Genomic DNA, 23,620 nt, shown 5'->3' on the forward strand with positions numbered 1-23,620 from the left:
ACCTGGACTGTCATAATCTCAAGCCCATATTCTGATGCAAAAAGAGTATACCATAAGGTCATAAAACTAATGAGTTGTGCTTGAGTTGTTTTAAAGTTAGTATAAATTATAGAAAGATCTAGTCTAACCTAAAGCTCTGAATAACAAAGTATCAAGTGGAGTCCACAACCCAAATCTTTTGCTATGTAATCTAATGTGCTTTCTATGACACCTCTCATCATCATAATCCTATCACATTTTGCTTTATGTATTTTGAAACTAATTTTTAAGTGCATTTGTGTTCAAGAATATTATACAGAGAAGAGATTACCATTATTTCTTGCATCCCACACCTCTCTGTATTCAATTTTCAACTTACTGAAGTACATCTTTTAATAATTCTTTCAGCCAGGGTCTATTTTGAATTATTTATCAGAAAATGCCTTTATTTTTGCCTCATTCTTGAATGATGTGTGTTTTCTGGATAGTATCTTTAAAAGATGGGCATGTATGTCCCTTCTGCCTTCCTTGCAAACTACCCTGCTCCTGCACCTGCCTGGGATGCAGACCTGAGGGACACAGCTAAAGTAGCCATGTGGGATCCTAAAATAGAAGCCGCAAATTGAGAGTAACAGAGCCACTCTATCAGCCCTTGACATCTGGACTGTTACATGGGAAAGAAATAAATTTCTATCTCTTTTAAGGCTCTATATTTTGGGGTCTATCCTTTTTAAAAAAAACAATGTCTACTATGTCTTAGCAGTTGTATCCCTGCTTGCTTTGCTCTCTCCTTTCCTTATGCCTTCCTCAATATAGATGTGTACGGTGCCCTGGTACACACTCCCAACCCCTACCTTCACTTTTATTTCTGGGTCCTAACCAAAATCCACAGAGTGCCTTGACTGCTATGTGACCTGGCCAGTTGCAGTTTTTTCCCAGCGGATTTTAACCCTAAGCAGGGCCTTGAACATTCCCAGGTATTGTTAAAGGTATCTAGGCTTACTAGAAAGAAACTGGTCCTGAACCTGAGCCAAATTCCTTAAACCTTCATATAAACTCCATACCCTGACCCCCTTGCTGCTGACATACCTAAGTAGAACATCCCTTTCCTCTCGCTGTTCATGGGAAGGATTGCTGCAGCCCACTCTGTACACAAGTTCCCCTGATAAATGCTTTGGACTGGTCACCTTAGCATTTAGTGCTCCTTTCTTTGGAATCCCAATGAGCCCTATCTCAGGATGGTTTGGGGCACTCTCTTGTGAGAACTCCCCAGCACTGCTTTTGGGGTGACTCCAGCCACCACTTGGGTAGAACAAAACAATACATGTGTGAATACATAAATGCACGTGACCTCATTCTTACTTCAATTTCTCCTCTTTATGTCATATTTTTCTATCTCATTATTTCTCTGTGCTGCATTTTGGGTGATTGCCTTAGTTATTTCTTTCAGTTTACTTGTTTTCTTCAGAAGTCTAATCTGCTATTTAACATGTCCCTTTGAGTTGTTAATGTCAACAAATATATTCTTAATCTCTACACTTTCTATTTGGTTCTTTTACAAATAAGCCTGGTCTTTTCTAATGACAAAATAGTCTTCTGTTTTATTCCTTCCTTTATGTCTCTGACATTTAAGAGATACTTGCATTAGGCCAAATGTTTATAGTCCCCCCCGAAAAAAAAAAAATCATATGTTGAAATCCTAATCCCCAACATGATGGCATTGGAGGTGGAGCCTTTGGTAGATTCGTGTCTTTATAAAAGAGAGCCCAGCGCGCTCCCTCACCCTTTTGGCCATAAGAGTACATAGCAAGAAGACTGTCCTCTATGAACCAGGAAGAGTGCCCTCATCAGAAACCAAATCTGTGGGCCACTTGATCTTGGACTTCCAGCCTCCAGAACTGTGAGAAATAAATGTCTGTTGTTTGTAAGCCACCCAGTCTGCGGTATTGTGTCATAGCAGCCCAAACACATCAAGACAATACTTATTTCATAGTCTCATTCAGAGTTTTTAAATTAACCCAGTTCTTGGATTGTGATTTCTCTATTTATTTTATCTTCAGGTTTCCCTTCAGGGTGATTCATTTTGTTCTTAATTTTGTATTAAGAGTTCATCTTTAGCAGAGCTTGTTATCTGACCATACACCTGTGTACCTAAATCGTAGAAACAGCCCAACATGGCACTTTGTTTCTGGTGAAATTCTAAGGATTCAATTGTCCTGGACCAGATTTCATGGTAATTTCTTAGAATGAGATTTCTGTATCTCCCAAATCCTACATCTACTCATGGTAAATGCCTGGGAAACACATTTTTCCCACCCACAGCCATAGACCAACTACAAGTTTCCTTCCTCCTCTTCATAACAATTGTCAGTATTTTCCATAGTCCCTTCCTCACAGATGAGGCACCCCTTCTCCTAGGCTCCAGAGATTATTGACAAGACTCTGTCACAGGATTACCACATAAAATACAGGAAGCCCAGTTAAATTTGAATTCCAGATAAACAACCTTTTTTTTTTTTACCATAAATATGTTCCTTTCAACTTGTAGAACATACTTACCCTAAAAAATGATTCATTGTTTATCTGAAATTCAAATTTAACCAGCCATCTTGTATTTTAATTTGCTAAATCCGACAATTCTAGTCATAGTGTCCTGCCTAAACTTGGCCTGAGGTCCCATGTCCTATCTCCAGATGGGCCTCCACACCCAAGACCCCAGATCCTGGGACCTATGTGCCGTTCTAGCAACATCAGCCACAGTTATTACTCTGGCTCTGAGTTTTCTTTTCACATTGAGAACTAGAAGATTTCCCTTACTTTTTTCAATGCTGGTTGTAATGGACGGGTGTGGTGGCTCACGCCTGTAATCCCTGCAATTTGGGAAGCAAGGTGGGCAGATCTCTTGACCTCAGGAGTTTGAGACCAGCCTGGGCAACATGGTGAAACCCCATCTCTACCAAAAATACAAAAAATTAGCCAGGCATGGTGGCATGCACCTGTGGCCCCACCTATTTGGGAGGCTGAGGTGGGAAGATTGCTTGAGCCTAGGAGGCAAAGGTTGCGGTGAGCTGAGATTGCACCACTGCACTCCAGCCTGAGTGACACAGTGAGACTTCATCTTAAATAAAAAAAAATAAAAAACAAACAAACAAACAAACATGGTTGTATATTTTAAATTGCTGCCACATATTATCTAGATTTTCTATGTGACAGTGGTGGAGGGAAGGTTTCCCCATGTCAGCTAGTCTGCCATGTTGTCAGAAATATTTTAATTACTTCACATCTGCCCTCATCCTCCACGTGAGCATTGTACTATGCCATGAAAAAAAAAAATGAAGCACAGAGTGGCGAATTCACCCAAGTTAGTTGGAGACAAGGGAATGTCCAGGAACAAGTCCTCCTGACTTGTACTTCAGGGATGCCGCCCAGCTCATTCTTTCTACAGGACGGGTTCTCCAAAGAAAGGCAAACAGCTCCCAGTTTTGGCTAAGGTTGGACTTCCCAAAAACATGGGTATTCAAGGATTTTCTTTATATTTTTTGGGCACAGGAAGGAAGTAAAATTCTGACTTGCTACGTTTTACCGGGCCAAGTCAAAGATGAAAGGCTAGATGATGAGGTTAAAATAGAAAATTATTAACTAAAAAGGGTTGAAACGTCTATTTTAAGACCTTAAATTAGTCAAAACCTAGGGAATGGAAGACATAGAGTCATAGGATGAGAAAATAATGTGGTTTTGTATTGAAATGTTTCAGAGAAAGGCCCCTTTTAAAACAGTTCTAAATAAAGTTCTTGGAACAGAAGAAAACTATTTTGTTTTCACTTTAGACATGGAAAATCCCCTGGACCAGAAATTCCAAAATCCTCTCTGCATATTTTCTGATTTTTTTCAATAATTCCACATCCTCTACATGGTTTCCAGGCAGAGCCTAATTTGGCCTTGACCCTGCATGCACCAAAGATCTCAAATTCAAGCCTTTGACATAATGTCACAATGAAGTTTTACTTTCTGTTCTTATATACTGTGTATTAAGGTATCAGTTTGTTCAAGGTAAACATTTAAAATCATCACAGTTTTTGAAACTCTGTTTCAGCACATCTACACTTATTTCTACATTTTTCTTATTTTTATTTTTAGTATTCTAGACATCTTAAAAATTAATCCATGCCCTGGGCTTTCCACCCACTCTGGCAGGCTCTGCTGCTAAAAATTCACGTTGTATAAGCCTTAAAGAGTGTGTGTCCCTCCCAAACAGCTCCCACATGAATATGAGTTTAAGAAAAGAAGGTATACATTTTGCTAATAGAAATCATTTATAATTCAAAAGAAAAAGGAATAATACTTCTCGTGTTTGTCTCTGGTCCCAGAACTTACTTGTCCCACAAGACCTTTGGCTCTAATCACCTCCTAGGATTACTCCCTCTAGGTCTACGCCACTCAAAGAAAAATCACGAGATGGCAGTCTAAATTATGACTATCCCAACTTTCAAAGCAACTTAAATCAGAGAACCGTAGAATTTTAATATATGTCTTATTACAAAATAAACCATGTAACTTGGAAAACATTTGGAAATTTCGCAAAAGCATAAAGAAATGGAAATCACGTATCAACTCACCACTCAAACATGTTTCTGTGAATAAAACATGTTTTATGCATAAAACACATTTTAACAAAATGTAATCATACTCTTCAAGTTTTCAAATTTGCTTTTTTCACTTATCTATATATTGTGAACATTTCCCACAACATTACATATTTTTCTACAGTACCACTTTAGTGACTATACATTCCATTTTATAAATATGTGTTTATTTCATCAGTCCTCTCTTTGGGGGCATTTAGATTGTTCCCAGTTTCTCCTAACTCTGTGATAATTATCACTGTAGTAAAGTTATTCTTGCAGTTGGCTATTATTATTATGTCCTTAGGATAAATTCCCAGAAGTGAAACTGATTGGTTGAACAATATGCACATTGTCAAAATTTTAGGCACACATTGCCAAGTTACCTTGTAAAAGGTTCATCAATCCCACCAGTAGTGTATCAGAGTACCTATTTACTATCAGCTTTGAGGAATTTTGTATAAACTAAGTGATCATCAATAATGCAAAAGTATTTTTCATTTATGAAAAGGATTTACAACATGGCTCCTTTAAACAGTGAGCTTCCTGGTACATTTAAAACATTATTCAATTTAAAATATGATTTTAAGTTTCTGTAGAAATTTTCTATAACAAAACTAATAAAGAAAATAAAATATTTCTCTATTTGATTTTTTTTAATGGAGAATGCTACCTTTCAAAGGACTCTTTCTCTTTCTGTGTTCATCCAGCCTGAGAAGAGATACCACAGTTCAGCACCATTATTCTGCTCATAATCCATCTTCTATTTCATATTCCATTTCCCGTCATGCACTGGATAAACACGGCAGCACTGACATGATGAGAAGCCTTCCCTGAAGACTGCAGCCCACACTCATCTATCCCTTCACTGAACTCCTATTATACTTATTGTCTGTACCACACAATTAGCACTTTATTATATACTGTCTTGTTCTCTAATTGTCTGTACCACACAATTTAGCACTTTATTACATTCTGTCAGATTCTGTAATTGTGTCATTTATTTTTATCATATCTCTCCAACTAGATTACAAGCACCAGGGTGTCAGGGACGCTGTCTGGTCCTGCTTTGCCATTCCACATGGCACCAAACACTGTGCCAGGCACAACAAGGTAGGCCTTCAATACATGCTGGTGAGTTTATGGGTTGATGGTGGGTGAGTGGGTTGGGAGATTTGTTCACTGACTTTCTGGTGGGCTTTAAGTAGGCTGAGTTATCTGGAAGGCAGAGTAGGAAATATTAATTGATAAGGTACTGGGTAACAGAAGATTCAGGCACCATGGTCATTCCACCCACTGTCCATCTGTCCAACCTGCTTTGTTGCCTAGTAAGTCATTTGGTTCTCTCCACTTAAATTTTTCTGTATATAGTCACACATAACTTACAACAGGGATACATTCTGAAAAACACGTCATTAGGCAGTTTCATTGTTGTGTGACCATCATAGAGTGTGCCTACAAAAATGTAGACACTGTAGCCTACTGCACATCTGGGCTATATGGTATATAGCCTGTTGCTCCTAGGCTACAAACCTGTATAGCATGCTACCGTACTGAATACTGTGGGTGATTATAACACAATGGTATTTGTTTATCTAAACATAGAAAAGGTATAGTAAAAATACAATACAAAAGATTTAAAATAGTACACTTGCATAGAATACTTACAATGAATGGAGATTGCAGGACTGAAAGTTGCTCTGGGTGAGTCAGTGAGTGAGTGGTGAGTGAATGTGAAGGCCTATAACAATACTGTACACCACTGCAGACCTTATAAACATTGTACACGTAGGCTGTACTTCATAATTTTAGAAAATATTTCAACAATGATAAACTTAGCTAACTGTAACTTTTTTCCTTTATGAACTTTTAAATCTTTAAAAACTTTTTGACTCCTTTGAAATAGCACTTCACTTACAAACATTGTATAGTCATACAAAAATATTTTCTTTCTTTATATCCTTATTCTATAAGCATTTTTGTATTTTATTTATTTATTTATTTATTTTACTTTTTAAATATTTTTGTTAAAAACTAAGTCACAAATACACACCTTGGCCTAGGCCTGCACAGGTTAGGATCATCAATATCACTGTCTTCCTCTTCCACATCTTGTCCCACTGGAAGGTCTTCAGCGGCAATAACACACATGCAGCTGTCATTTCCTATGATGACAATGCTTCTTCTGGAATACCTGTGAAAGGACCTGTCTGAGGTGCTTTTACAGTTAAGTTTTAAAAATATAAGTAGAAGCAGTACCCTCTAAAATAACAATTAAAAGTATAGTAAACACATAAGGAACACTTGTTTATTATCATTATGAAGTATTATGTACTGTACATAATTGTATGTACTATACTTTCATAAGGCTGGCAGTGTGGTAGGTTTGTTTACACCAGCATCACCACACCCACGGGAGTGTGCTATGTGACAACAGCTACGTTACTAGGCAATGGGGATTTTCCAAGTCCATTATAATTTTACAGGACCACTACCATATATACGGCCCACTATTGACCAAAACGTCCTTATGGGGTGCATAACTGTTAAGCAGAACAGGGAAACAAGAACAAGTGACCAGACAATACCGTTTTAAAAATCACCGGAAACCACATTTTTCCTCTGATGATTTTACACTATAACTTTCTCTAATTGGGGAGGCACTGCTGTGTACAGGAAAGAAGTCATGCTTTGGAATTAGAGAGACTCCTTACCAGCTGTGTGATGTTCAACAAATTGTTTAACACCTCTCCCCCTCTCTCTGCTTCCTCATTTCTGAAATTATTGTGATTATGATTATTTGTGATATTGCCACTGAGTGTCTGTAAGCCTGCTGGAGTATTCTTATTTTTCCCAATTTCTGTAACTATCATGCCTTTAAGGAAGTGTTAAGTATTATTATTACCATAATTAATACCTCTGTTTGTTTCACACACTACTTGAAGAGTTTCTGCCTAGGCTGTGATTAATGGGTTTGCTTCTCAGTATGTGTAGAGAATAAAGTCAGACAGACTTACATAAGTCATCTTTTTTCCTGATTGAAGTCATTTACATATTGTGGTCTATCACATGACATCAGATTATGTATAGTAAATAATAAGAGAAGAAATGCCCAATATTCAGCATCAACAAATTTGTGCCTCAATCTGTCACGTTCACTTCTGCTATAAAAACTTAGGTGAATCAAGCATTGAGTTAATTATATTTCTCTGAATTTGGAATGATACAAATAAAATGTCCTGTCCCTGTGTGTCATCTGCTTTCCCCTGTCTAATCAGTATGTTTTGCCATGTTCTATCCTTTTGTGTTTTTGACCTTGTTTTTTTCAACTGGCAGGTACACAATAAAATGTTAACTAGTCACCTGGCCGTTCAACATGTTATTGTTTCAAAACAAGGTCAATGAAACCTCCCCCAAAAGTGCTGTTCTAACCCTGGGTCTTCTCTAACCCTGAGGGTCCAAGGAGTCTAGAGAGCTATGAGTGGCTGCTCTATAAGAAAGTGGGTCCTCTTTAAGAAGAGCTTCTCTCCCTCTGCATGTGTTGCCTGAATATCCTTTTGGCAAAGATGGGCTGTTTCTTTCTGCATATTTATGCTAATTGGGCTGTGTTCATTTATTCTTTCAAAAATATTTATCAAGGTCAGCTGTGTAACAGACAGGGGACTGCATGCTGGAGATACAAAAATGAACACCACACGGTTAGGAGCTCGCATTCAAGGAAGCCACAGTCTAACAGGGGAAGCAGACACGTCTGCAGACAATTGCCACACAGTGAGATAAGCATTAACAGAATATGCATGGCCAGGCTATCAGCTTGAGCCCAGTAGTGACCACCACAAAGAGTCAACTTGGTCTGGTAAATCTAAGGGAGCAGTTGACCTGGCTGTAGGTGCTGAATAGCCTGAAGGGAAGAGGACTGCTGGAAAATGGTCTCGTGGTATCTTAGGGTGGAGAAAGGAGAGTGGGAAAGGACAGCCTTGGGATGGGTATGGGGTGACTTTGGTTCCCTGTATTTGCTCCATAGACTCATGCTTGACCTCTACAGAGACAGAATCTGCAGGTAGAGAGGGAAGGGGCTCAAGTGAGACAATGAACACTTGTCATGCTCTTTTGGGGCCTAGGTGAAAAAATGTGAGGCAAAGTGGAAGAGAAGAGGCTTCTCTCCACAACTTAGGAACAGTGTGGTTGATGGCCTTGGGGCACAGGAAGAAAGCAACTTTGACTGAGAAGAGACACTGCCCCCCAGTGGCCTCGTGGCAGGGGGGTCAACAAGAAGCTCAAAGTGGAAGCACAGGCAAGAGAGGAAGCACATTGCAGGGATCACTTATATCGTGCCTCCCACTAATAATGGGAAGTTGGAAGGGAGCAGTGTGTCTGCATTAGGCAGGTGGAGTCTCAAGCCAATGCCATGTGAGTATTACCACTAATATAATAACTATTCTCATTAGGGCTGGTGTGTATAGGAAACCTAATTCTCCATATGCACAAAAGTTGTGGGAACACCAAAAAAAAAGCACTTATTTTCTGATCACAAGATTAAGCAGAGTGATGCCTATACTGGTTAATAATGGAATTGAGGTCTGGTAGGTGGAAAGACAAGAGGCCCAAGATAAGTAATAAAAGGAGACTCAGACACAGTGTTGGGGTTGGGGGCAACTGAGAGATGATGAGAGGGAGTTCAGCCAGGCCTTCCCTTCCCCTCAAACAGAGGGGCTTAAGAAGCTTAAGGAGAGCTCTCAGTGGAGGAGTCAGCAAAACGGAACTAAAGGAAATGGCCCTGAGGCTGGAGACAGGCTGGAGGCAAATAACTAGACAGAAATGTCCGCAAACAAATTCTAAAAATAAGACTTATCTCCTAAGCTAAACAAAATGAAAATCTACCTATGTGCACATAAATAGAATTCAAACAAAAAATAACCTTTCAAACAGCACTAAAGGGCACATTGAAAAATAAGTCCCTCCTGCCTCAGCCCCCTCAGGAAGCAGTTGGTGGCTGCCTGGCATGGTCTTGGAGTGCTGCCCCCCAGAGTCTTGACCGTCATTACAGGGTGAAAGCATAAATGTTAGGGGAACTCCAGGATCCCTAGAGCTCTAAAACCAGCATCCATCCCTGTGTGTCAGTGCTGAACCAGTTGTTAAATATTTTGAACATCACTGGTATCCTTCTAGAAATATGTGCACATATACAAGTATATCCCTACAACACCTCTTTTTTCCTTTTCATACAAATGGAAGAACTGAATAAAAAGCATTCCACATTTTGCCTTTTTTTGTGCCTACTTGGTCTATCTTTAAATGCATGAATATACATCGTATGTTTTTCTTTCAGAAATAACAGAATTTAGGTTACAGAGATAACAGAATACCTAAAACTGAGATATGGAGCACAGGAGTAACACGAGAGACTTTGGAATAACCTCTTGGAGCTTTTCATTAGGCACCAGTGAACCAGGCCAATGGCGACTGGGGAAACCACTCTGAAAGATGGAATCTGAGTGTGCTAGTCCAGGCTAACAGCGCCCTGCAGGCTTGGGCAAAAGGGAAAAGGAGGGACAAGATCAGTCACATTTGCCCAGGAGGGATCTAAGCTTCCTAGAGCCCTGACTCTTAGTGCCTAAATACAGCAGTTACCGAGAATCAAACCAGCCTCGGGTGGCACCAAGTTAAATTTCAAATTTCACACTCTGAACTTTTTCCAGGGAGTTTTTCCTTCATTCAAAAGAGATATAAAGTGAAGTTCTTCGTAAAAGACCTAAAATTTATTTCTCCTAATTGTCCCATTTTTACCTCAAATGCTGAAGGAAACATAGAGTTTTATTCATGAGAGAGAAAATACTTATAAACTAAACTTGAACTGGATTTTACAGTATATTCTACACATTGAAAAGTCAAGAGCACTAGGTGTACTCTTCTTACAGGTATGTTTATTTAAAAAACCCAAAGAACCAACCGGGCATGGTGGCTCACGCCTATAATCCCAGCACCTTGGGAGGCCGAGGTGGGAGGATCACGACGAGGTCAGGAGATTGAGACCATCTTGGCCAACATGGTAAAATCCCATCTCTACTAACATACAAAAAAAATTAGCTGGGCATGGTGGTGGTGTCCTCCTGTAGTCCCAGCTACTTGGGAGGCTGAGGTAGGGAAATCACTTGAACCCGGGAGGTGGAGGTTGCAGTGAGCGGAGATCACGCCACTGCACTCAGCAAGATTATGTCAAAAACAAAACAAACAAAAACAAAAACAAAACCAGTATGGGACAGGAGGCAAGTGTTAATTTTCCATGTCTCATTTCTGTTTCTATACAACATATTTTCATTATTTTAATATAAATGAGAGAGAGGCAGAGATTGAAGAAGAACATTTAAAACTGAGGGAGTAAACTGCACAGGAAGAGTACACAGAATGGGAGCAGAAAACTATTATCTAATACTTTTGTTGTTCCCTGATGTCCCCAGAAATTTTCAGTCTAGAAAGAGTCATAAAGGAGCAATTTCTGCTGATAGACTGTCACCTAGCGGTGGGTTTTTACCTTATTCATAATATAAGTGGCTGCTGAGCTTTGGAATGTTTTTAGAAAACATGCTCATTACTCCTTAAGATCTCCGGGGAACCTTTTACAATACTGTCACAAGCAGAATGTAACTCACTTTTGTGCTTCCCAAAGGTCTAATGTCCTTGTCGGCAATAGCTAAAACAGGTTGCACATCCTTCAAAAGGAAGTTTTGCCTCTGTAATTATTTGAATATTGTCAAAGAAGCCCTGTAGGCAAAATTAAGATTCGTAACTTTCTCTTCTGTTTACAACTCATAGCACCCTCAGTGTTCTCCTTGCTAATGGTCAAACTAGGCCCATATTTTCTAAAGTTTTCTCCATTTTTAGGTGGTGACAAAAGAGTGTATGTAACCCACTGGTCACATTGGCCTAGAGATACGATTCAGGACAAGGAAGTCACAAACTCAGCAACAAGACAATGTTCCCTAGATTTAATCTATGCCAGGAATCCATCCTGCTTGGTCACAAAGAGGCATTACAGTCCTCTTTGTCCAGTCCTTACTCTCTGTGTGATACCAGCCCTCTTGGCCAGGAGGGTTCCTACTGTTGCCTTAACCCTAGTCAACAGGGAGGCACCCTGCTCCCATCAGTGATAAAGTCTATGTTCAGGCGACAGAGCCAGCACATAGCTCTCTGTTATCAACATCCATTCTGCATGCCATACTATTTCAACCATTTATGCAGTATTGGCACTATATGTGTCACATGAAACAGAACAGATAGACCACATCCACACCAAGAAGTTGTGATCAGAAGGGAAAGCACTGGGTGTTATGAGGAGAGGTTGTCACCTACATTGGGAAGATCTGAGTGAGGTCCCTTTTAGGAAGGTTGCATCTGAGTAGAAGTCAGCCAGATGAAAAGCATCCTTGTCACAATGGAAAAGATAAATAAAATGTGGTATAGCCATACAATGGACATAAAAAGGAATGAAATACTAACTCAATCCACAATATGAATAAATCTTGAAAATGTTATGTATGCTAAATGAAAGAAGCCAGACACAAAAGACCACATAGCATGGCTGGGTGAAGTGGCTCATGCCTGTAATCCCACACTTTGGGAGGTCAAGGCAGGCAATCTCTTGGGCTCAGGGGTCTGAGACCAGCCTGGGTAACATAGTGAGACCTTGTATCTACAAAAAATAAATAGAAAATTAGCCAGATGCAGCACACGATTATAGTCCCAGCTACTTAGGAGGTTGAGGTGGGAGGATAGCTTGAGCCTGGGAGGTCAAAGGTACAGTGAGCTGTGGTCATGTCACTGCACTCTAGCCTAGGTAACAGAGTGAGAGCCCGTCTCAAAACACACACACACACACACACACACACCATATAATTCCATTTATATGAAATGTCCAGAATGGGCAAATCTATAGAAATAGATTAGTGGCGGCCAGGCACAGTGGCTCACGCCTGTAATCCTAACACTTTGGGAGGCTGAGGTGGGCGGATCACCTGAGGTTGGGAGTTTGAGACCAGCCTGACCAACATGGAGATACCCCGCCTCTACTAAAAATACAAAATTAGCCTGGCATGGTGGCGCATGCCTGTAATCCCAGCTACTCCAGAGGCTGAGGCAGGAGAATCACCTGGGAGCCAGAGGTTGTGGTGAGCCAAGATTGCATCATTGCACTCCAGCCTGGGCAACCAAAAAAAAAAGTAAGAAGAAAGAAAGAAATAGATTGGTGGCTGCTTATGGCTGGGGGTGGGGAGGGGGAAATAGAAAAATGAGTGACTACTAATGGCTAGGGTTTTATTGGAGGGAGTGATGAAAATGTTCTAAAATGGTGACACAAGTTGCACAATTCTGTGAATAGACTAAACTACTGAACTATTATACACTTAAATGAATTGTATCATAGTGAAATATATGTCAATAAAGTCGTTACTTAAAAATCTGGAGTCACAGATCTTAGGTTTAAGAATGCCAAATATGGAAGTATATCTCTTGTGTTCAACTCATTTTTTTCCTTCTAGCTCTTTCTCCTTAAGAACCCAGTAAGCATTCACTAAAGGGCTAAGCCAAAAGACAGCTGAGCATGGCCGCACTATGCTGCCCCCTCCTGGGATCCCAAAGGATCTTCTGAACCCAAGCTTATGCACAGGACTTTTCCCTTCTCAAGAGATGTCCCTCTCCTAGTTAGCACTCACGCTCAGAAGATAAACCCTAAAGGACAAGGGTTTTTGTCTCAGGGCCAGCAATCAGTTCAACTTCTATTCGTGGCCTGTTCCCTTCTCTGAAGACCTCTGGACTCTGATGAAAAAATAAACCCTACCTTTTCCATCAGCCCCATTGACACACCCATACAAGCCAGAATTTCCAGAAGTGACTCTCATACCCGGTTACGCATTCTTCACAGTGAATGGAACAGACTCTTGTCCACCTGTGGACAGACCTTTTACTGGAACACAATGGGTAACAACACTTCAAGATCCAACTTAGGTCTCCTTCCTTCATAAGTGTTCCGCAATTTAGCAGTGTTTCAGTTGTTGAAAACCCATTTTCTCTTTTCAGGTTAGTATAGCCTTACCAGAAGATAAGGGGAAACTTTCTGGGGGACCACCCCTCACCCACAGTCAGTTCAGGAGCCTGTGATGGGGGCATCACCTCCAGCTCCAAGGATAGAACATATGACTGTTCTGACCAAGTTCATTGCACCATATCTCCCAAGCTCTTTCCCCTGCACCAGTGGGTTTCAAATTTGAATTGTAGCAAACAAAATCTGATACAAAACCCTGACATACATTTGTTTTAAACAAAGAAGAGTTGATGGTAGTAATATTTCTAAATCTCACCCTCTTGGCCTGCACTTGGATAGACACTATGTCCTGCACTGTGGGAAAAACAAAGGAATAGGACATGATGCCTGCCTTGAACACCTTGCAGTGGAGTTGGGGGCAAGAAACAAAAGCAAGAAAATTAATGATTAAATAATACTACATAATAATAGAAGAAATCTCACAGAGACTGCCGCTTATCAGAAGGGGGTTAGAGGCCTGCAGTTCAGCACTGAGCCTTTTGTTGCCTCTCTTCTTCTAAGCCCTACTCATTGTCTGATATTTAGCTTGGCTGTGACCTTCCCCAGTAAGACGTTTCTGGAACACCCTCCTGCCTCTTCACACACACACACACACACACACACACACACACCACCCCCTTCAGCCCAGATTAGAGCTCAGTGTTCCTGTAATATCTCTGTACAGTCTATCACTGCATTTACCATATTTTAAAACAACGTCTCCCCAACACTTCACAGTATAGGCTCTGAGTTTCATAACGGCACAGAGTGGATACTGTAAGAATGCAGTGAGACTCTCCCTACTCCATGCTCCTTTCTTCCATCTTTTGTTCCACAGATGTCAGCCCTACATCAGTCTGCAGGCTGCTCCTGTCTGCTCCAAATCCCTCCCCCAGTAAGTTTCTTGCACATCTAATCCCATCTTAGCATCTGCTTCTTGGTAGACACTAACAAATTATTATAAGGAATTACTTTGCACTACCATATTTATACAAAAAGTAGTTAGTTCATGCATTTAGAATATTGGTTTGTTGGTTGACAATGTTAAGCCTAATGACCTATACCTTTTGGGTACTGACATACTTAATTTTGCACTTATTAAACTGTGACTTTCCAAAAAAAAAAAAAACTTTCATTGTACCATTAGGATATAATATTCTTGTTAATATTACAAAAACCAAACCAAAACAAAAACCATGCTGCAGCCTTAGGAGAACTTGCTTCATGTAACTAAGGGTTTTTCTTTTTCTTTTCTTTTTGTATTTTTTTTTCCTGTAGGATAACATAGTGTTAAAAGCACAAGCTTCTGGACTACTTGAAATCAAACCACAGCTTAACCAGCTCTATGGCTTTTGGCAAATTACTTCAACTCTTTAAACCTGTTTCTGATCTGTAAAATGGAATGATCCTTGCTCATCTGTAATATATACATTTATAAAACAGGACCCACCAATGGGATTATTTTATGAATTAAATGTTAAAACAGCTAGAACGGTGCAGGCTGAGTAAGCACTGAACACAGTACTTATTAGCTATTATCTCTGGTGCTCTGTGCAACGAAAGAACTATTAGAATACATTTAAAAGCACTTTGCAAACTAGAAAGCCCTTTGAACAATTTAGTTTCTCTAAATGTAATAATAAGCATCAGCCATCGCCTTTTATGGAAAATTGAGGTGGAATCACATCAGCAAGAGAAAACTGAGGACTTGTCTCTGGCTCTGTTCCTGATTTATTCACACAGTACATGATCCTAGAATAAGACTCCTGATACTCCTGAAAGTAGAGGCGGTTGGGTTAAAAATAATTTTCCCTTTCAAAACTCTTTCAAATGTTCTCCAAAAGAAGCCAGGAAAGCTCCCGTATGAGTAGATAATTCACTTTAAAATTCGCTCATCTCTCTTTAACACGAGAGTCTGCAGGGCTGGTGCAGCGGCGTCAACCCGAAGAGACCTGAACGCCGATGGGCAGTTGGGATTCTCCGTACGCCTCGGAAACAGCAGCCCAAACCTCACAACGCAGAACCACGAGATAGTGGGGATTGCAGAGCCCTGCGCAAGAGAAGGAAAATTAAGACGCAGCGGAGCCCAGGAGGTGCCCGCACGCGGGAAGGACTGGCGTGCAGACGAGGCAGGGGGAGGTTTGCACTCGGCGTGGCGCGGGTGAGCCGCGTGCTCTCGGGCACCCGGCCGCCAGTTCGGATGCTTCCGATCCTCGGGGAGCCGGGGCGCTGCGCCGGAGTCACTTCAGCCCATGTTGTTCAGGTGACACCCGGGGAAGAGCAGACTCCAGTGTGCAAAACGTTTCGGGGTTTCCGGGCCAGCGGTTCCGGGCGCGCCTCGCGGGCGGCGGCGCAGAACTACAACCCCCAGGCTCCCTGGCGTGGCGGCACGTGGGCCCGAGCCGGGCGGCCGCGGATATAAAGCGCGGCGGCGGCTGCCGGGCGGAGCGGCTGCACGGACAAGAGCGGAGGCCTGGGTGAGCGCGGCCCGCGACGGCACGGGCTAGGACAGACGGACGCAGACGGCCCGACGACCTGGGCGTTCGGGCGGAGGGGCGCTGGGGCCTGACTCGCGGGTGGGTGAGACGTTGACGGACCCGGAGGAAAGAGGGAAGGCAGATACGCTGGGAAACGGATCTGGGGAAGGTGTGAATGCGAAAAGTGTAGGGACAGACGGGGGCAGAAGAACTTACTCCCCCGGATTGTTTGCAGACAGCATATCTGCCGGGTCTCCAAAGGTCCTTTCCTCAAAATAGAGTTAGCAATTGAGCAGAAGAGAGCTTAAAGTTAAACCTGATACATCCCCCCTTCACTTGAGGAGAAATTGGTGGTTTTCTGCTTTTTTAAAAATCCCTATTTGTATCTCCTCTTCTCCGAGTACCTGTCCCTCAAGATATTCTCTGCCCAGAGGTACATTCTGCCCTCACTTTCTGTCTCTTAAAAAAACAACTTTGCCATTTAAAAAAGAATTTGACTTAGGCAGCTTTAATTCTTTGCACTGAGTGTTCTTATCTGTGGATGGAGGTATAAGATTTCAAGAGTAATACCCCCTCCCAATGTTTCAGTAATAATCTAAATTCACATTAAGCCTTAGGCTGGAGAACATTTGAGCTATTCGCTTTAGCTACGAGCTCTGAAAACTTCAAAGCATAACATTCCCAAGTTTATCTAAAACTTGAATCTTAAAAATAATGATAATTATCTGTTATGCTTCAAAGCATAACATTCCCAAGTTTATTAAAAACTTGAATCTTAAAAATACTGATCATTCTCTGTTAAAGTCTTTTGTTGTTGTTGTTGTTGTTGTTGTTGTTGTTGTTGTTGTTGTTTTTGAGACGGAGTCTCGCTCTTGTCGCCCAGGCCGGACTGCAGTGGCGCTATCTCGGCTCACTGCAAGCTCCACCTCCCAGGTTCACGCCATTCTCCTGCCTCAGCCTCCCGAGTAGCTGGGACTACAGGCTCCCGCCACCACGCCCGGCTAATTTTGTATTTTTAGTAGAGACGGGGTTTGGCCATGTTGGCCAGGCTGGTCTCGAACTCCTGACCTCAGGTGATCCGCCCACCTCGGCCTCCCAAAGTGCTGGGATTACAGGCTTGAGCCACCGCGCCCGGCCAAAGTCGTTTTTATCCCATTTCTTCCTGTAGGCGTTTCAAAGTTTGCAAAGGCAGCAAACTTTTACGTAGTGTAGTTATCTGTGCAAAGAAATTTTCCAAGCTGCCATTGCCCCCAGATGGCAGACAGTCTAGGAGAGGAGCCAAAACCACCCTGCTTAATAACTCTGATGTAAGGTTTTTAATGAAAAGCCACTGTTTGGGGGAATTCTGAGGTTTAAGAAATTATTTTCGGCTGGGGTATCAGGAAATCCCCTGGTTTTTAAAATGAGAGGTTTTTTGGTTTTTGTTTGTTTTTGTTTTTAAGCTATACCTGCTGGAATGGATAAAGTGAGCTTTAAAAGTTGATCAGACCGAAGAGATTGAAGTGAGAGAACCACAGGAACAAAGGCAAGCAGACAGACAGTGAAAGGTAGATAGGAGGAACAGCAAACAGTTTGTTCAGCTGGGCAAGTATAGTGCAGGCACGAAGATTTCAATAGAGACCCAGACCCCAGGGAGCTGGTTCTTTAGCCTACTGGCATTTTCTAAACAGGACAAAGACAAGACCAGAAATGCTGGTGTTACTGGAAGATTAATCTGACAGCTGGTGTGGATTGAAGAAGAGAAGAGGGATTAGGACAGTGATTCCTAACCCCTATCCTACACTCCCAACGGCCCCTTGTTTTGAATTTTTGAACTAATCAAACTACATTTGTGGTAATTAGTTTTATTTCTTTCCATTAAAGACATATAAAACTGCCAATTTGAGCTTCTGATGATTCTAAGAACATCAGTGTTACCGTCCTTAGTATCAAATAAATGCAGGCAAAAGCACAAGACTACGGAGTTTTATTTAGCCTGAACAGCCTAGTAGTGTTGGATTTAGGAGGTGTTTAATGCTGACTCAAGCTCTCAGGACTCTTATCACTTGAACCTTCTTGGGCCCTGTGGACCTGGGGTTTTGCCTATTTGTCTAGATAAGAGGTAACGAAGGGAAAAATTATAAAGGCGAAAGGAGGAATAGCAGGGGAAGAAGATAACAGAATTGAAATGACTTAGTCCCTAAATAGACAAGAGTAGTGAGTGTTGGAAAGGAGGCACTAGCAGAGCAGAGATGACTGGGAAGATGATGCTGGTAAGGGCATGATAGTATTTTCTACTGTCCTATACACATCAGGCAAGACTTCATGGAGAGCACTGAACACGTACTCACTATGTGCCTAGCATTGTTGTTAATCACTTTACATGAATTAGTTCATTTAATTCTCTCAACCCTATGAAATATAATTACTATTATCCTCATTTACAGAAGGGGAAACTGAAGCAGAAAGAGGTTACTTAATGGGCTCAAGGTCACCTACCTGGTAAGTGGTGGAGCCAGGATGCAGATCCATGAGGTCTGACTCCAGAGCTGGCCCTCTCACCCCTCTACAGTAAGGAACAAAGGAGATGGCAGGTCCCTTTGGGCATGTTAAGTTGAGATGTTTGTGGGAGTGCTAGGTGAAGATATACAGCAGGCATAGCATCAATCTCCTTTGATACTTAAACATCCCTCCAGTGGGGAGATGGCTTAGGTTATGGGCCTTTAAGGCTCAGAGGCTAAGTGGCCTGCTTATTGTACTGAGGGTGGTCACATGAAGCTCAAAGAGTGATTAGAGCCACATCTTATGATTTATTATCTTGTGTTTTCCCATGGGCCAGGTTATTGGATTCATCTTTCTAAACTTCCAATCTGCTTTTAGTCTCATGTTTGAACTAGGAAATACAGAGCAAAGCTACATGCAGGACTTGGTCTTGATTTTAGGAGCAACTCTTGCTGAGAACATGTCTGTTTGCAAGGAAAGTATCGTGTTGTCTTTCTACTGAAAACAGTCAGTGTTTCTCAAGGGCTTACCTGAGCCAAGACTCTTGGGGAAGAAAAATAGAAGATATGGTCTCTGTACTTCAGAAGTTTATTCTCCTATTTGGGAAGATAAGATGAACAATTAGAAGAGCAAACAAAACAAGATAGCTTATAACTAAGTACTACATTATGTGGGTTAGATTTAAGTATAGTGGGCATTGCATTTTTGAATGTGCCAGTAATGTCAGAACTATAGCATAACCCTTCTTGTTGGTCACCTACAGACATCACTTTATTTGCTACAAGACCACTATCTTTTGTAGAATTGTCATCAAATACTATCTGATTATATTTTATTTTCATTTTCAATTGTTAGACATTAAATTTGTGGTCTGAAATTGCATTTGTGGCTTTTTATGTCTTATAGCTCAAAAAACAATAATGCTTCTAGAACTAGCAAATGTCAGAGCTGTGAGTTGAACCAGGTGGTCTGCCTATGGAACTGAGGCTGTTAACCAGTCTGCTCTGTTGCTTCTTGTGGCCCATCCAGAGTCTTTTACACTGATTATGGGCAGGTACACTCTCTGCCAGATGGTGAGAGATCCTTTGGCCCCAAATGAGTGGTGTGAGTTGGACTCTTCCAGCAGTGCGCTACCCATCTGTGGAAGCCATCATCCAGTCACAGTCTGAACACCTCGTTCAGTCACCCACATATTCTTCGCTCTTGAATTGAACACCTGGTGTCAAGCAGAGGGCTCACTGCAGAGAGCAAAGGCAAATGAAACATCCCTGTCCTGGGAGCCTGCTGTAGTGGGGAAGAGGGAGGTGAATATGCAGTCTACATGGTTAACTAGAACTAGGAAAACTGGACAAAACTGGGCAAAATTAGGATATAAAAAGATAGGTAAATCTGAAGGTAGTTATGTAAATCATGATGAAACCTTAAGACAGGCTTGTTTTAGGTGAGATTCTAAGAATGAAGACAATGGAAAGAGAAAATGTCCCCTTTTATGACCATATTTCAGTTTAAGTAATAGTACAGTTGACCCTTGAATTACGTTGATTTGAAGTGTGCAGGTCCATTTACACAGATTTTTTTCAACCAAATACGGATAGAAAATCAGTATTTGCAGGATGCAGAATTCTCATATGCCAGGCTTGGGGCTGACTGTGTGACTTGAGTAGGCATGGATTTTGGTATACACGAAGGTCCTGGAACTGATCTTCTGTGTATACTGAGGCATGACTATAATTCACTGTATGTTTTACTTACCTGAGTTAGGTTCAAGCTCTTTCTTGGGTCTGCTGCTGTTAACCTCTATCCTTTGAGGTGTTAGATTGCTTCCATCATCTGTATAGCTAAAATGGGAGACTGTCCACGTAGTATTTTCTCAAGTCTACCCTCTCCTGTCTTAAAGTTTCCTCCTCAATAGAATTAAGCACTAAAATTTTACCATCTTGTACTTGCTCTGTGTGTTTGTGTACTTGTAAGCACATTTTACAGTTCTAAACTAGAAATGGACTTTGCCTGGGAGTTTTATCATTGACATTCCTTGAAGAAAGAGAGAAATTACATTGTATGTTTTCCAGACCTACCAGCAGCTCAATGGCCTTCCCAAAGAAGAAACTTCAGGGTCTTGTGGCTGCAACCATCACGCCAATGACTGAGAATGGGTAACTATCATTTGGGGCCTTGAGGGGATCAGTTCTCATTCAACCAAAAAGGAGAGAAGTTCTTTGTAACAACAGTCACTTAAGACCCTGCACCTCTGTAGAACTGTTGCCAAAAGGCAGCTTCTGTCTGTCATCCCTCTGCACTGTCTCTGATCCCCAAGTCTGAGGAGGCATTATATCTCTGACCCCAAAGTCAGAGAAGCACTATATCACCTTGCAGAAAGGGAGAAGGTGAGAAATGGCAGCTTGCCTTTCTCCCAGTGTCTGTAGCACCACAGAGCAAATTCTCCTTGGATTTCACCACAGCCTTGGCCTTTCTAAACAGGGCCAGTAGCATTGGATGAGAATCCCATTTTAGCATAATTGGATATCAAGCACTGACCTAGGCCCTCTCAGGATGCTGTCTCTGGACGTCAGCATGATTCCACTTCAGGCTGTTCATAGACTTGATAAAAATGTCCTACCCTGAGGAAAGTGGGAGGTTATCTGCAAGATGGACTCTTTTTTCCTGTTTACAGCCTCATTTCAACATTGACTAGATGTTGGGCAGCGGGGGAAGGGAAGTAACAACAGTCCGTTGTTGACTAATCATTACCCCAAGCAAGTATTTTGACCTCCAGATGAATACAGTGGCAGTCCTTCTGCTAAAAAATCAGATAACAAAAAGGCCCTGTGACATAGGGAGCCATGCACTGTGTATAACTCCTCCTTGAACATCACCCCTGACAAAAGAGAGTTCATCCACCTCCTGGATCTATATGTTTTTGACCTGTCAGAGGAGTCAGGCTGCCAAAAAGTTAGAATGCTGGCTTATTTAAGCTTCTCCTTTCTTTCTATGTAATATTATAATAATAATCATACCTACATAATGAATTATAAGCATTAAATGAGATAATTCATACAACAGTGCTTGGCACAGGGTCAATACGCACTTAGGTCAAAAAGTTTGAACTGCCTTTATGTCATAAGGCAGAGGCAAAAGGAAGATGTATTTAGTACACCTTTTACAAGGGACTTTCTTTTTGGTCTTCTGTTGCTGAATTTATAAACGTTCATCTTACCCTTTTAAAGGAGATGAAATTTCTCATGTCTTTTAGTATTCTCCTTCAAAGTTGGCCATTTTGCAGTTCTACCTTAGAGACTCTCCAATGAGTCCAAGACTTCTGGCTTCTAAGATCCATGAAAAATCACGTCCTTACTAGGTCTAAATAAGATTCTTGCTGATACGGCATTTAGATTACTCAGCTGGTTAATAATAATTTTTTTTCTGTTACTTCCCCTTTCCACAAGTTTTAAGAAAGACTGGCATCAGCTGTTTCTCAATGCATCAGTCACTTGTTCGCAGATCAAACAGAAGACATGTGATTGCATGAATCGGCAGGATTTACTTCCTGTTACAGAGTGAGATCCTTTCTGTAATCTCCTAACACTGCATCTGGTCCATACTACTTTAACCTTTTAATAAGACCCCTCTTATCCTGGAAGTGGCTTCTTAAAACAGTCTTGTTTGTTCATCAGGGACCCACGGACAATGTCAGTGTGTTCTTCCTCCCTGTTTTGCCGTTTTCCTGGAAGGCCAGATCCCATGATAGAGATAACTAAAATGACTTTTTCTGGATCTTTTTCCGTTTCCCAAAAATCTGTGGTCCTGCTGCATCCATTTTACTATTTTCTCATCAATTCTGCGTTTTTCTTCTAGGAACCTTACTTTCCTAAGGTGTGAAATCAAAAAAAAAAAAAAAAAAAAGAATGCATTATGTGTAGGCTCTTTAAGAAATAAATAGTGTAGGTCAGTGTATAGCACAGAGTAGGCATGTGAGCCATGTTAGTTCCCTTTTCTCCCACCACCTGCTTCATCAAACATTCCTGTAGGTATAAAGTAGCTTTGGAACACCCACCAAGAACACGTAGGCTTTAATGTACTTACCCACAAGGGAATCTGCACTTCTGGCATGTTTCTAAGACATGAGATGGAAGGAAGGGGCACATGGAATCTAATACCTGGAAATACTGCCAGGTGACCTGCCATTGTGGGAGTTCTCCTAACCTGGCATGTACATATACATATCCTCCATAATTCTGAGTGGCTGAACAAGGACTATTTCCCTATATCCTTTTTTCTTCTCAATTCCAATGAAAGCTCAGTAACAATTCAGCTTTCTGCATATAAGTTGATGTCCTGGAGTAGGGTAGCTGGCAGAAAGAACATGGGTAAGTAGATCTTAGTGAAATGATGTGAGTCCTGGATCCCAAGCTTTGCCACTAGTTAGCTCTCCGACCCTGGGGAGATCTTGTCACCTTTTGAGAGCTCTCTCGGCCGGGCACGGTGGCTCATGCCTGTGATCCTAGCACTTTGGGAGGCCGAGGTGGGCGGATCACAAGGTCAAGAGATCGAGACCATCCTGGTCAACATGGTGAAACCGCCTCTCTACTAAAAATACAAAAATTAGCCTGGCGTGGTGGCGCACACCTGTAGTTCCAGCTACTTAAGAGGCTGAGGCAGGAGAATCGCTTGAACCTGGGATGCAGAGGTTGCGGTGAGCCAAGATCATTCCACTGCACTCTACCCTGGGCAACAGAGTGAGAATATGTCTCAAAAAAAAAAAAAAAAAGCTCTTTCATATTCTCCAAAGGAAGTTCAACCACATTATCTCTATGACCCTTTCCAACTCTTAAGAGTCTGCAGTCCTCTCATGTCATTGGGGATATTGTGGGGATCACCATTAAATAAGAATGTATAAAGTACCTATAATTCCAGTCCATCGTCCACACTGTAGCTCAGTGAGCTTCCTAGTAAATAAATCTGATCATGTCACTCTCCTCTTTAGGAAT

General features: G+C 41.5%; 1 protein-coding gene across 5 annotated transcripts in view, besides 2 other annotated features; it reads left to right on the forward strand.

The window, feature by feature from the left end:
• Nucleotides 8,876–8,965: an enhancer, noted in NCBI's record as "active region_2207". NCBI's record gives its function as "activates an Ori minimal core promoter by ATAC-STARR-seq in GM12878 lymphoblastoid cells {active_cell/tissue: GM12878}" and the evidence as "EXISTENCE:reporter gene assay evidence [ECO:0000049][PMID:35858748]".
• Nucleotides 15,775–16,275: an enhancer, noted in NCBI's record as "H3K4me1 hESC enhancer chr1:182758561-182759061 (GRCh37/hg19 assembly coordinates)". NCBI's record gives its function as "activates a minimal SCP1, AML or CMV promoter by ChIP-STARR-seq in naive H9 embryonic stem cells {active_cell/tissue: H9 hESC(naive)}" and the evidence as "EXISTENCE:reporter gene assay evidence [ECO:0000049][PMID:30033119]".
• The window catches only part of NPL (N-acetylneuraminate pyruvate lyase), a 40,612-nt gene continuing 33,113 nt past the window's right edge, over nt 16,122–23,620 (forward strand). For 4 of the 5 annotated variants that reach the window (NM_030769.3, NM_001200056.2, NM_001200052.2 and 1 more), the window contains exons 1-3: nt 16,122–16,154; nt 18,581–18,635; nt 20,705–20,788. In NM_030769.3, coding sequence (NP_110396.1) covers nt 20,721–20,788 — 68 coding nt within the window. In that variant the 5' untranslated portion in view covers nt 16,122–16,154; nt 18,581–18,635; nt 20,705–20,720. The remainder of the gene's footprint in view (nt 16,155–18,580; nt 18,636–20,704; nt 20,789–23,620) is intronic. The other variant, NM_001200050.2, reaches the window with a different exon arrangement.

This window comes from Homo sapiens, chromosome 1, assembly GCF_000001405.40.
Source record: "Homo sapiens chromosome 1, GRCh38.p14 Primary Assembly".
In the NCBI taxonomy this organism is placed as follows: Eukaryota; Metazoa; Chordata; class Mammalia; order Primates; family Hominidae; genus Homo; species Homo sapiens.